The 14,619-nt window shown below is 38.7% G+C and overlaps 2 protein-coding genes across 2 annotated transcripts in view; both read right to left on the bottom strand.

Moving 5' to 3' along the window:
• CLCA1 (chloride channel accessory 1) overlaps positions 1 to 683 on the bottom strand; it is a 31,333-nt gene extending 30,650 nt beyond the window's left edge. The window contains exon 1 of the mRNA NM_001285.4: positions 477 to 683. Within this exon, the coding sequence (NP_001276.3) occupies positions 477 to 638 (162 nt within the window). The 5' untranslated portion in view covers positions 639 to 683. The remainder of the gene's footprint in view (positions 1 to 476) is intronic.
• Positions 684 to 13,056: 12,373 nt separating this feature from the next.
• CLCA2 (chloride channel accessory 2) overlaps positions 13,057 to 14,619 on the bottom strand; it is a 32,383-nt gene continuing 30,820 nt past the window's right edge. The window contains exon 14 of the mRNA NM_006536.7: positions 13,057 to 14,525. Coding sequence (NP_006527.1) covers positions 14,083 to 14,525 — 443 coding nt within the window. The 3' untranslated portion in view covers positions 13,057 to 14,082. The remainder of the gene's footprint in view (positions 14,526 to 14,619) is intronic.

The following is a 14,619-nucleotide window of genomic DNA, read 5'->3' as shown; positions in this document are numbered from 1 at the left end:
CATCAGAAGGTCAGGGTTGTTCTTATATCAGAGATTTGCATCTGGGGCTCCTTTTAGGATCACAGGGAAGGGGGTTCCTATTAGGAGAATAAAAGGAGAGTCTGACTCGTGCCAAGGGTAAAATCAGGCAAAGGATCTGTGCATCTCACAATATCTGTCAAATGTAGCTGACTCTGCCTTACTATAGAACTAAATAATTTTCAGTGACATAATCCACAGCAGTACATATCAATTTATCATTTATCAGTTGCCAACAGTATATCACTCTGAGTTATGTGCATTGCATTCATTATCTTATCTGACACAAGAATCCTAATGGTTAACTTGTTATTATTTCCATTTTACAGATGAAGAAACTGAGACTTAGACATAAAAATACATGCCAGTGTCGTGCAGCTGGAATAGGGCACTCATGTTCTCTCTATCACAACATTATGCTATTTTTAAAAAAGTATGGATAATTACTATGAACTTACCTTTATTTGTTGAATGAGTGTTTCATCTTCTGGCACATTGGGGTCGATTGCAACGACAATGCCTTCATAGCCATTGTTGTTCAGCTGAATGAGTGAATTACTCAGGGCCCCTTCTAGAAGGTGAAGAATCAAGATGAACACAGAACTCTTAAATGGCCCCATTGCTGTACATCTCCCTGTGATTTCTCTCTTTGGAAAATGCGGGTTACGAAGGTGTCTTTCTTTACCATTATATATATACAGATATGAAAATATAGACACACGTTTCCAACTTATCGGAAGTGGTTTATCACAGGTCTTTAACCCCCTGACCTGATGTGTTTTACTATTGCTCTTGTCTTCAATAGGAGAATGATAACAATATCTTAGTCTCAAATTGCGTACTTGTAAATATTTCCATCTGCCTTCAGCTGTGCCAGATGCTGGGGTAAGGGTGGGGGAGCCCACATCCGGTTCCTTGGAAGCACTCACAGGTGACAAGCAGCTTGGCCGCTGATAGGTTTGTTTACTTCTTGGAAATGTTTACCAAGCCATGGACACCAACCCACCCAAAGCCCCCAACCCCCTCCTGCCCAGGAAAATCCAGACTGTTCTGCTTATTCAGTAAACATTTTGTAAGCCATATATTCAGTTATCCCTCATGGTGGTCTTTACCACAATGGTGGTTTTGTTTACCTTGACATAACCTCAACACCTCTTCATGCTCCCCTTAAACAAGAAAATATTCAATTATATTCCACATCCATTTGTACCAAAAGCATTAGCAAGTGATGTAGATATTATTGACTATTTTATAATGGAGAGTAAAGATAAAATGTATATCTTACTTTGCAAAGCATACTCCAAGTTCCTCATCAGATTTCTGCTTTCTCTATTGCATAGCTCCTACCAGTCAATAAAATTCCAATTAACATCATTAAATTATTTTGCTGAAACTAAATGTCCCTAGGAACATGAATTATGGGCTGTCAGTGGCTGTGTATATTCTTTCAATTTGCCAAACCTCAGGTGGAACCTCAAATTGGCCCCCCATTTTCTTGTATTGAAATACTTGAAATATCTCTTCGTTCATAAATTCATTTGGTCTTCAGATGGTGATAAGCATTAATTTCATCTTGTCCATATGAACTTTAAAGTAGTTTTTTCCAATTCTGTGAAGAAAGGCATTGGTAGCTTGATGGAGATGGCATTGAATCTGTAAATTACCTTGGGCAGTATGGCCATTTTCACGATATTGATTCTTCCTATCCATGAGCATGAAATGTTCTTCCATTTGTTTGTATCCTCTTTTATTTCCTTGAGCAGTGGTTTGTAGTTCTCCTTGAAGAGGTCCTTCACGTCCCTTGTAAGTTGGATTCCTAGGTATTTTATTCTCTTTGAAGCAATTGTGAATGGGAGTTCACTCATGATTTGGCTCTCTGTTTGTCTGTTGTTGGTGTATAAGAATGCTTGTGATTTTTGTACATTGATTTTGTATCCTGAGACTTTGCTGAAGTTGCTTATCAGCTTAAGGAGATTTTGGGCTGAGACAATGGGGTTTTCTAGATATACAATCATGTCATCTGCAAACAGGGACAATTTGACTTCCTCTTTTCCTAATTGAATACCCTTTATATCTAGCATAATCTTAAGCAGTTAAAAGGGAAACACTGAAATAGAGTGGAAATGCTCAATTATAATGTGGTTGTCCAGATGATCCAAAATATGCTTTTATATCAAAATACATATACATTTATTATTCATACAAAATTTAAAAATGTAGATTCCAAGATATCTCAGACCCCAAATGTATGTGTCTTTGCCTGGGTTCCCTAAAAAACAGAGCCTAAGGCAGGCATATGTGCTAAGAGTTTGAGAGTTTAATCCCAGAGCAGTGAGAATGAGGGAATGGGGAAATGAGTCAGGGAAGGCTGGGAAGCAACTAAAGGAGGAGCATTACTAAGCCCTGCAATGGAGACACCCAGCAGGCCAGCCCACAGGCGCCCTTGCCTTCCTGTGTGGGTTGTCTCCTAAGGGGCTGTGCAAAGAAACCACGCCTTGGAGCAGCCCTTTGGAGAGAGGAAGGAAAAGCGTTTGGCTCCTTCTCATCTTCTACAGGTGATCATCTCCCCCCAGACTTCCTGGCTGTGTCATCCAGCCCTTTCGGCAGTCGCTTAGAAAGAGAGACCCCCATGCCTTGTGGTATGTGAGGAGCCAGGGGTTACAAGAGGTGGCAGCTTGACCTCAGGCAGTGGAACTGCTTGGACCTGCAAGGAGTGGATAGTGACTGAGGTGGAGCAAATGACTGAGTGCCCGGTAGACAGATGGAACCAAGCAAATCTGAGGAGGTTCAATAAGAAGAGTCTGATACAGTTCACTCTGAGCTGCTCAGATTCACTCTAGTACTTTCATCATATCAAGCTCCAATATTATAATGTAGGATTTGTGTTTCTGTGTGTGTGAGCACTAGCTGTCTCACTTTTCCCCTGAGAGAAGGTACAAGTTTAATCATTTACAGAATCTCCTTCAAAGTGGTGGTCAATTGCAATCTGCTCAAGTGCATAAGGCAAGAAGGTTATTGAAATAAATTGCAATGCCTGCTGTTACAGCTGGTCTCAAGGCTTTTATAATCTCCCTCCTTTATCACCTATTTCCCTCACTTTTACTCAGCATTTTGGTTGATCTGTATTGTTTGTTCTCTTGTTGGGGTAATCCCACCCTTCATCCCTGAGTGGGGTCTTTAGTTGTCCTGCCCTTGTTGGCTGCAGCTGCTGCATTTCCCTATGACAGAGGTCATCTGGTGTGACAGACTCAGTTTAAGTGCTCTCCAAATTTGCTTGGCATTCCCTGCAAGCTGGGTCTTGGCTGCTTGCTCAGTGGAGAGTCCTGGCTGCTGCTAAAATTCACACATCTCCTAATACCAGTGTTTCTTCTTAGCTTTCCCCAGGAAGAGGGCCTAGTTTAGCATGGCCTTCACTGTGCAGATTGTGGGGGCAGCTCCTCCATTCTCTCCCGTTCCCAAGTCTGGATTGAATGGATGTGTGGAGGCTTTTGGCTCAGATAAATCACTGCACCATGGTACTGGGATCTGGCTTTGTCAGAGGCAGCCCAAATGGGCCAAATAACAGAAACCAGAGATGCAGGGAGTTAGCACCCTAAGGGACAACCTTTCACCAAAGAATATTTCCAGCATTCTAGAAGTTTCCTTTGCATTCCCTTCCAGTAAATCCCCCCAAAAGATAATTGCTATTCTGACTTCTATGCCACATAGGTTAATTTTGCCTGTTTTTGAACTTCATATAAACAGAAATATGCTGTATGTACTCTTGCATTTCGCTATTGTGACATAACATTTTCTATATGAGATTCAGCCAAGTTGTTGAATGTAGCAGTAATATGTTCTTTTTCCATTCCATTCCACTGTAAAAAATACTGCAATTTACTTACCACCCACTCTTGATGAACATTTGGACTATTTCCAGTTTGGGACTATTATGAATGAAGATGCCATAGATGTAAGCATTGATTTCAGTTGCAAATATACAAAGAGTGACATTGCTGGGTGACAGGGTATACATCTATCTAGTGACAAAGACTCCCTCCTTTGACCAAAACTTAAGTCAGGATCCTGAGTCTTCTCTGACTAGGTCTGACCTTGGGCTTCCCTCTCTGTCCTTGCAGAATCCAGTTTGAGCAAGAATCCTGCTAAGTCAGTTTAGGGAAAATCCCCACGTTTGGTATCTGACCATTCTCAGCATCTTTCCACCATGGCCTGCCTTCAGCAATAACCCTATCAAGTCAGTTTAGCCAGACATTCCTTATCCTTGATGTTTCCTCATAGGCATTTTTCATCCACTGACCCCACCCTTCTCCTTGGTTATAAATTCCCACTTGTCCTTATTGGAGTTGGAGTTAATCTACTTTCTCTCCCCAACTGCAAGACCTCCTTGCAATGGTCCTTGTACCTATCACCATGCCTCCCACCCCTTACCATCTTTAACAAGTGTTTGCATGAAGTTTTTCTTTGATACTAGATTATGTTGATCTCCCAAATACTTTTCAAGTGGTTGTACAAGTTATTCCACATTTCCACCAGTACATTGTACTGTCAGTCTTTCTAACTATCCATTTTCTTGGGAGTGTAGTCATATCGTTCTGTGGTTTTGATTTGCATTTTCCCTAATGGCTAATGTTGTTAAAGACCTTTTTATATACATATTGGTCTTTTGTGAAGTATCTCTTCAAGTTTTTTTTTTTGCACAATTTTTAATTAAATTGTCTTTTCTTATTGATTTATGGGAGTTCTTTATATGTTCTGGATACTGAGTCTTTTGTATTGAAAGATATATTGAAAATATTTTCTCCTAGTTTGTAGCTTGCCTTAATAGTATCATTAGATGAATAGAGATTTTTAATTTTAGTACAGTCCAATTTAATCTTTTATGTATAATGTTTTTGTGTCATATTTAAGACAGCTTTCCCAAATTCATGAAGATATTATACAATATATGATTCTAGAAGCCTTGCTGCTTGACCTTTAACATTTAGGTATACTGATTGATCTCAAAATATTTTTGTGTATGGTGTGAGGAAAGGTTCAAGGTTTTTGTTTTGTTTTGTTTTCCTCTGTGATAGCCAGTAAGTTGAGAGTATTTATTGAAAAGACCATAATTTCCCCTACTGAATTACAGTTGTGCTTTTGTTGTGCATGAGGTGACTACAGATGTGCAGGTCTGCTTCTGAACTCTCTGTTCTGTTCCTTGTTCCATTGGTCTGTGTGACTATCCTTACCTTGATTATCTGGTAGTGTAAACAGTCCAGATTTGTTTTTATTCAAGACTATTTTGGCTACATTAGGTGCATTTCAATATAAAATTTAAAAGCAGCTTGTCAATTTCACATACAAATATCTGGGTTTTATAGGGGTGCATTAAGTTTACAGATCAATTTTGGAAAAATTGACGTCTTTATTATATTGTGTATTTCAAACCATGGAGATGGTATGGCTCTTCATTTTAAGTTTTATTTAATTTTTCTCAACTGTGGTTTATAGTTTTCAGGATAGAGATCTTGTGCATCTTTCATTAGGTTTATTCTTAGGGGTTTTTCTTGGTGCTATTGTAAATGGTATTTTTATAAAATTCCATTTTCTAATTGCTTATTGCTGGTATATAAAAATATAATAAATTTTTATGTATGGACCTTACATTTAGTGAACTTGTTTAATTCACTTAATTCTAGTATTTGTAGATTCTTCTGGATTTTATATGTATATAATTATGTCATTTGTGAGTAATTACATATTGATTCTTCCTTTCCAATATTTTTGTTTCCTTCTCTTATTGGACTAGCTAGGACCTTGAGTACAATATTGAATAGTGAAAATAATGGATATCTTTTTTCTTGTTCCCAATCTCAGGGAGAAAAACATTCTAAAGAATTCTATATTTTACCATTAAGTATGCTGTTACCTAGAGATATTTTGTAGATACCTTTATCAGATTAAGAAAGTCTCTTTGGGCCAGGTGCAGTAGCTCACACCTGCAATCCCAGAACTTTGAGAGGCCAAGGCAGGAGGACTGCTTGAGTTTGAGACCAGACTGGGCAACATGGTGAAATACCACCTTTGCAAAAAATACAAAAGTTAGCCAGTTGTGGTGCCATGTCCTGTAGTCCCAGCTACTTGGGAGGCCGAGGTGGGAGGATTGCTTAAGCCCAGGAGAGCCACTGTACTCCTGCAATCCTGCCTCTCACTCTCACTTTGAACAGAGTGAGACCTTGAGACCCTGTCTTTAAAAAAACAACAAAAAAAAGTCTTTTTCTATTCCTAGTTTTTTGAGAGGTGTTTTTTTGTTGTAGTTAAATCATGAATAGGTGTTGAATCTTATCAAATGCTCTTTATATATCTATTAAGATGAGTATATAATTTTTCTTCTTTGTTCTGATAATGTAATGAGTTACAATGATTGATTCTTCAATGTTAAATCACTCTTACATTCCTAGAGTAAATCTTAGTTGATCATGATGTAGTGTCCTTTTCAATTTGCTAATATGTTGCTTAGGATTTTTGCATATTTGTTCATAAGACTGGTGTGTACTTTTCCATTCCTGTAGTGTCCTTGCCAAGTATCAGTATCAAGGATATTCTGAGGCTGGGCGTGGTGACTCTCACCTGTAATGTCAGTACTTTGGGAGGCTGAGGCAGGCAGATGACTTGGGGTCAAGAGTTTAAGACCTGCCGGGCCAACATGGTGAAACCCTATCTCTACAAAAAAATACTAAAATTAGCTGGACATGGTGGTGCAGACCTGTAGTCCCAGCTACTCAGGAGGCTGAGGCAGGAGAATTGCTTGAAACTGGGAGGTGGATGTTGCAGTGAGCCGAGATCACACCACCTGCACTCTAGCATGGGTGACAGAGTGAGACCTTGTCTCAAAATACACACACACACACACACACACGAAAATTAGAAAATATTTGGAACTAAATGATAATTAAAATATGGCCTATCAAAATTTATATGACAAAGCTAAAGCAATAGTCAGGAGGAAATTTAAGAAACTAAGAAATAGTCTTATAAAAACAGTTTCAGAGTGTATACAGACAGAATATAAATATGCTTTTTTTTTTTTTTTTTTTTTTTTGAGACAGTGTCTTGCTTTGTCACCCAGGCTGAAGTGTGCTGACACAATCTCTGCTCACTTCAACCTCCACCTCCGGGTTTCAAGTGATTCTTGTGCCTCAACCTACTAAGTAGCTGAGATTACAGGCCCATGCCTCCACGCCCGATAAATTTTTGATTTTTTGGAGAGATGGGGTTTTGCCATGTTGGCCAGGCTGGTCTTGAACTACCTGCCTCAAGTGATTTGCCTGCCTCAGCCTCCCAAAGTGGTGGGATTACAAACTGTTTTCTAATTTTCATTGTGAGTTCTTTCTTCACATATGAGTTATGTGGAAATATGTTGCTTAATTTCCAGACATTTGGGGATTCTCTAGTTGATTTATTTTTGATTTCTAATTTAATTTCCCTGTAGTATTAATATGTACTAATATAAATATTATATATATATATACATATATATATACACTAATATATTATATTCCTCTTTCCCCTGTCTCATAATCTGTTTTGCCAGGATGGTAGACAAGCTTCTGAACTCTGTTAGAGGGTGGGCAATCACTCTGTGATTCTCTCCATGTGCACATTATAAATTTGTATGCCATTTCTCCAACTAATCTGCCTTTTGTGAGTTGACTTTTCAGCCAAGCTTCAGAGGGCAATGGGGGTGTTTTGAGAGAGAAGGAAGACACCAGTCAAGCAGGCAGTTAGGGTGGGTCTTTGGTTGAATCCTTTCAAACAAAAGAACAACCGGCAGACATAGATAAGGGAGCCTGCACAGAGGGGCTTATCTAAGACATGCCCACAACCGCACAGATAAAAAAGGCTACACAGGTGACTTACCCAGACATGCCTGCAATGGAAAATTCTGTCCACTAACACATGTGCAGTAAGAGGAAAAAGCAATATGGAGTAACTCAAGCTAAGGGCCCACATGCACACTAGGAGGACAGAGCGGAGCTACCAGAAATTCATGCCTTGTGCAAATGAGACATCCAGCCCTCATTGGTTTCTTATAAAAGCCTGTGCTTTCAACAATGGCAATCTTCTTCTGGGGTCCCTCACCACGGTCCCCTCTCCACCTTTTATCTTCTTCATTTTCTTGCTTCTTCTTTCCTACGTTGGTGTGAAGTAAGATCATGCCAATTTAAAACATACTCCTTTTAGATGTTTGTTCTTTTATATTGCTTTTGCTACACAGAGCTAGGGAAATAGAAAGTAATTGGCCACTGTACTGGATAGCTTCCTCCTTCCTGGGTCCTTGAGGCAACAGTTGTCAGAAAGCAGCTTTTTGATAAGACTCAGCAGCTTGTAGCTGAGAGGGACTGGGAAATAAAGTGGCCACCATCTGGGTCACTCTCCACCCATTTCAGGAACCATCTTGCTGATAAGAGCTACTCATTCTAAGGGCAGGAGGGACGTTTGGACCAAGGCATGGCTTTTGATCTTTGGGAGCAAGCTCTAATCACCTCCATGCCTGTGTGTCTATGTCTTTGTGTGTTTCTCTATCACTGTGTACTCTGTGATGTGTCCCTTTCATACCTTATTTCACCTCTCTTTTTTGTGCCAGGTCTGTGCATTAAACTTCCTATAATATATACACAAGAAATTGGATTTTTCTTTCTTTCAGAGCCTGCTACTCATCTGACTTCCCTCTGCCTCTACTTCCTGTTTCCCTGCATTTTGCATTTGCAGATCTTAACACATAATGCAGCATCCACCCAACTTTATATACATTCCATCTTTATTTTTCATGAGTTGGATTTTCTACCAGTCTTACACATCCAATCCTCCATTATAGATCATCTTAATTTTGTTTTAAATGTATTCTTTCTTCTCTTTCATCTTATCAGCTTTATTTAGATCTGGTTCACACTCTTGTCCCGTTTTTCCCTTCAGTAAGGCCACTTTTTCTTTTCTTTATGTATCAAATATCCTTGCCTCTTTCTCTTCCTCCTTAGAAAGCAAGGTTTCTCACCCTCAACATTATTGACATTTTTGGCTGAATAATTCTTTGTTGTAGGGGTATTAGAGTAGGTAGCTAGGCAGACATGAGTAGGACTGGAGACAGACCCCCCACCCTCCACCAGGAATGTCAGGCAGCCACCAGGTGATAGTCAGGCAGTTGTTAAACTGTCTCTCTAAAATAATAACTGGTTGCAGCCAGCACCAGGAGAAGGTAGTTTCCCAACAGATAGAAAACACCTGAAGCTGGTGATTAGCAGCTTCCCAGTAAGATCTCAGGAATTGGGCAGGTGGGCTCAAGCATGTGCACTAAGAGGCAAAATGGTGGAGTTTAACTGGTATATGACCTTCCTCTAGCAACACTCGACTGGTAAGGAAAAAAATGCCTAAAATGAACATGCACACAACTTTAGTAAACATACTGTGCATGCTCCCCTCCCAAGTGCTGGCAGGCCACTGCGAATGCAGACAGCCTGTCCCAAGAAAAGAAATCAAGGGAGGAGAGATGCAAACCCCGGAACCATGCCAATGTATAAAACCCTAAGTCAAAGGTCAAACAGGGCACTTGTATCTCTCAAGTTGCCCCCTTGGCCCTCTTTTTGTTCCTACTCTAAAGCTTTTTAATAAAATCTTACTCCCGCTCAAAAACTTGCCTGAGTCTCTCACTCTGCCTTATGCCCCTCGGTCAAATTCTTTCCTTCAAGGGGGCAAGAATTGAGTTGCCGCAGACCCATGTTGATTAACCGCTGCTAGCAGGGGCTGTCCTGTGCATTGTAGGATGTTTAGCATATTTTTATTTTAGATATTTTTATTTTATGTATTATTTTTGAGACAGGGTCTCACTCGGTCATCCTGGCTGAGTACAGTAGCACGAGCATAGCTCACTGCAGCTTTGACCTGCTAGGCTCAAGTGATTCTCCTGCCTCAGCATCCCATGTAGTTGGGACTCCAGGCATGTGCCACAACACCTGTCTAATTTTTTTGATTTTTTGTAGAGATGGGATCGCATTTTGTTGCCCTAGCAGGCCTCTAATTCCTGGGCTCAAGCAATCCTCCCACCTAGGCCTCCCAAAGTGCTAGGATTATAGGTGTGAGCCACCATACCTGTCCTCAATTCTCTATTTTTAATGGGTGCTAAAAGAGTTACAATATGTGTTCTTAATTTATCCCACTCTACTCTGAATTAATATTATACCACTTTATGTATAATTAGAGTACCCTTTGATATTATAATTCCATTTGTCACCTTTATGTTCATTCTGCGCTTATTATCTTATATCTTACTTCTTGTTATTAATACCACAATATATTGTTTTTATTTCTGTTATAGTTAATTGTTTTTTAAAGGAATTGGGTAAAGCAAACCAACAGCATAGATACTTACGTACCTATTTATAATCTCTTTATTTTCTTTCTTTTTTTTTTCAGATGGAATCTCACTCTGTCTCCCAGGCTAGAGTGCAGTGGTGCTATCTCAGCTCACTGCAACCTCCGCCTCCCAGGTTCAAGTGATTCTTCTACCTCAGCCTTCTGAGTAGCTGGGATTACAGGCACCCGCCACCATGCCCAGCTATTTTTGTATTTTTAGTAGAAACAGGTTTTCACCATGTTGGCCAGCCTGGTCTCGAACTCCTGACCTCAGGTGATCCACCCACCTAGGCCTCCCAAAGTGCCAGGATTATAGGCATGAGCCACCGTGCCCAGCCTATAATTTCTAAAAACCCTTCAATGCTATAGATCTATATTTCCATCAGGCATCATTTTCCTTCAGCCTAAAGAAATTTCTTTGGTATTTCTTGCTGGCAAAAATTAGCTTCTACTTATCTACATTTTGAAAGACATTTTTGCTTGAAATCATTCTATGTTGACAGATTTTCTTTTAGCACTTTAAAATGCTATTTTATTGTCTTGTGGCCTCAGTTGTTTCTGATGAGTAGTCAGTCATCATTCCTATGATATGCCTAGGTGTTTTCTTTGTATAGATCCTATTTTAGGCTCACTTGAACATCTGAGATCTGTGGATTGATAGTTTAAATCAAATTTGGGTTTTTTTCAGATTGAGAGGATGCAGGTTTGGGGACTTTCCTCTTTGTGGCTGCTTCTTTTTGGGATTCCCTTCCTCAATTTCCAACTAATCTGACCCCCAGATTGCTTACTTCTGACTTATCAATCTGGGATGATGGCTGCTTTCTGCTTGAGCTCTATCCAGATGTTCTGAGCAAACTAGGGAGATCCTTTGGGGAAAAATTTGGTTAAATGTGGATCCCACCTCTACTTATTCTCCCCTTTTAAGGGTCATATCTCCTTCAGTTTCTGCTTGCTTTTGTCAGGATCCATTGCTTAAAGAATTGTGTTCTACATTTTCTTCCAGAATTATAATTGTTATTTGTAAGAGGATTAGTTTGATATGAGCAGCTTCACCATCAGTGTCACATTAAGTTTTAAATGTAAGATATATCTAGGGGTTAACTCTTCTAAGAATAATTGCATTGTAATAAAAGATAAAGCATACACAAATTTTTTTGGTAGACTTTTTGCTATTAACATGCAAGTACAAACGTACTTTTGGGAAAGTCAATAGTGTCCACATAAACAGTGACCTGCTCAGTGCATAGGCTATATCAGCAGCTCTTAAAAATCTCCCATCCCCTACTTTTGTCTCTCTTCCATTGAGACAATTAATCTTCCTCTACTATTCCTAAAAGAAGAGGGCAAAAAATGGGGGAATGCTCTTTTCACTTTCCAGAACAAATTTCTATCCACTACATAACAATGACTATTCTGAAATTTAAAAATAATATCTGCCCATATTGCTTAATTCCATAGACTTCTCTTCCCTCTCTCAGATAACTGTCTATCTAACCCACAGTCTTCCTCCTCTTTCAATCTTGGGTCAAACTGTTAATGATGTCACATGTATTGACATCATGGTATTCCACTAGTGACCAGCGAGCACATCATAGTTTTTCATTCTTTTTGGCCAAATGCCCTATTGTTTCAATTTTTTTTATCAGGTATTTGGAATCAACAGGGTCTTTACTGTGACTCTGTTCTATTGACTGCTGGAATCTCTAAATCTGTGTTTTCCTACATTTACTACATCTTTCTTTTTGTTTAATATTTTCACTCCTTACAACCACTGAACACTGTTTACCCTACGCACTTCATGAGATCACTCTTTCTATACTGTTATATTTGTTTGTTACTTTAATATCATTAGAACCCCTTAATTTTGCCTCTTATACTCACTAATTTCTGGACTTAAGTCCATTTGTTCCATTCCTGTACCCACAAAATGGAAGACAAACAACAACAACATCAACAACAAAACCCACCAGGTTTCTTTAAAGCTAGATCTGCTGTCCTGCTAACTTATCATGAAACAGTTAAATATCTCTAGGTAGAAACCCTGGCATCTCCCACACCTTAAATAGGAGAAAAGGAGTAGTCTGAGAACCTGGCTCTACCTCTAATATAGCTTTGCCATTAACCAGTATAAAACTTTGAATTACTCACCCAACCCTCCATTTTCCTGTCTGTAAAATGAGGAAAATATTCGAGAACTTGAAACCCACTACAATCCGTCTCTGTGTTTCACTAGCCCAGTTTAAAACTGGAGAGAAGCAAATTCCATGCTAGCAAGTATAATAGCAATAGAGGGAGGAAGGATTGACTGCCAGCTAGGAATTGAGCTGCAAGTGTCTTGAAGCTTTCATCTGTGAAAATGTAGGCACTGTGAGACTTAGAAAGTAACAGGCCAGACACTGGATCAGTATAAACTGCAAGGAGGTGGCCTGGGTAGAGAGATTTGCTGGTTGTTTTTCTCCCCAGCACTGGTCTGAGTCTCTCACTTAGGGCTTCATGCTATCTCTTTCTTCCTGTCCCAATTCCCCACATTTCCCTCTCCACCACCCCAAAACATAATCTAATTTTTATTCTTAATTGGTCCTGGTTATAAAATTTAGATCTAGTCTACATTATTATATATATTCTTCAATAAAGTTTTAAACTCTTTAATTAAAAAGGCAAATGATTTTATTGTTCGATAATCTTTTAAAAAAATAAGAGGAAGGAGTAAAATTAAAGATGAAAGATGATTTTTATTTCCTTGTGACCTCTATATCCCCCTTCCCCTGCCCTTGGTAAGTAACTCTTGATGGAGAAAGGATTAAAGACTCTTATTTAACCAAAAAACAGAGCCAGCTAATCATTTCCAAAGGTTAGTATCTCCCTGCTGACCTCTTCTTTGGTTTAATTGAATAAAACTATATGTTCATATATGTATTAAAACAAACTCAGAATAACATCTTTTCTTCCTTAGTTAAGGCATTATAAGGGCTATAACTATCATCCATAATAACCAAGGCAATAACTTAGAAAGCTGCTTTGATGGGAGTAGAAACTTACAAACAAATAAATTCAATAGACCTTTGTCATAAAACCGGTATGAAGAGACAAAGGTAATACCCATATTGTTAAAGGTTACCTCTTACAGTGAAAAAAGATCTCTGAGCATTAGCAGTGAGATTTCATCTGTAATATATATAACAAAATAGCAAGAGGTAAAGAGCTTTGCATTAGGGGCTTCATATATAAAATATAGCATGATCTTCAGTTGTAAACAAGCAACCTGTTCTGCACAGATAAGGAGAAAAGAAAAATTAATCAAAGTAACTAAATGATTGCTTCACACAGACAGTTATAATGCAGACCTACCCTCCTTTTCTCTGCTTGGGGCTATTTTTCCACCTCAATAAAACAAACTTTCCTTGACACTGGTCCGACTTTACCCTTCCCTTTGCCTTTAAAGACATTACTTTAAAGAATAATTTTTATTATTTGTTCATAGCCAAAGTGTAAGGGTTTTCTAATCTACCCCCAAAAAGAATTTGTTGATCTACCATGTAAAAATCTTATCTGTATTGTACAAAAACTCAATGCATTTTAATACAGTTTTGATGTTAATTTGACTTTGTTAGTATGTTTTTGTAGTCGAAGGCCATGGGTCTTATATCTAAGAAGGAAGACACTTTGGATATTTATTTATAATAATTTTGTTCCATTCTCTTTCTTGTCTGCTCTCTTTTTCCTGCTTAAAGTATGATGTGTCACAACTATAATAAGGCAAATGATTCCTATCAAACCCATTGCTGTTAAAACTCCTTTCAATATAAGATAATCTCTGGCAGGTACAGGATCAGAATTGGGGGGAATAAACAGAGGCGCCTGGGCAATGTTAGATACAGCAGACTGTAAGGAGTTCCTATCCATTGCTCGTATTGCAACATAAATTCTGTGGCTTTCATGTGTTTCTCCATTTGGCTGATGTTCAGGTCCATTCGTGGAAATTTGGGGTGAGAACGTAAATATCTCCCTGATGCCAGCTTGCTGAGGATTTCGCTTTGATGTATTTACTAAAATAGCATTGTTAAAGTCATCTTGGATATTCTGTAGACTTTTACTCATTCTTATTTCATAGCTTGTAGCTGAAATTAAAAAATATAAATAGGAAAATTAAGTCACTTTGAGTATATTTTCTAGTTTATTAGAAATTACTAATGAGAACAGCAACAAAAAGTC

The sequence above is a fragment of the Homo sapiens genome, chromosome 1 (assembly GCF_000001405.40).
Source record: "Homo sapiens chromosome 1, GRCh38.p14 Primary Assembly".
Classification (NCBI taxonomy): Eukaryota; Metazoa; Chordata; class Mammalia; order Primates; family Hominidae; genus Homo; species Homo sapiens.
Note: the sequence above shows the minus strand (reverse complement) of the source record. Positions and strands in the feature narration are given on the sequence as shown.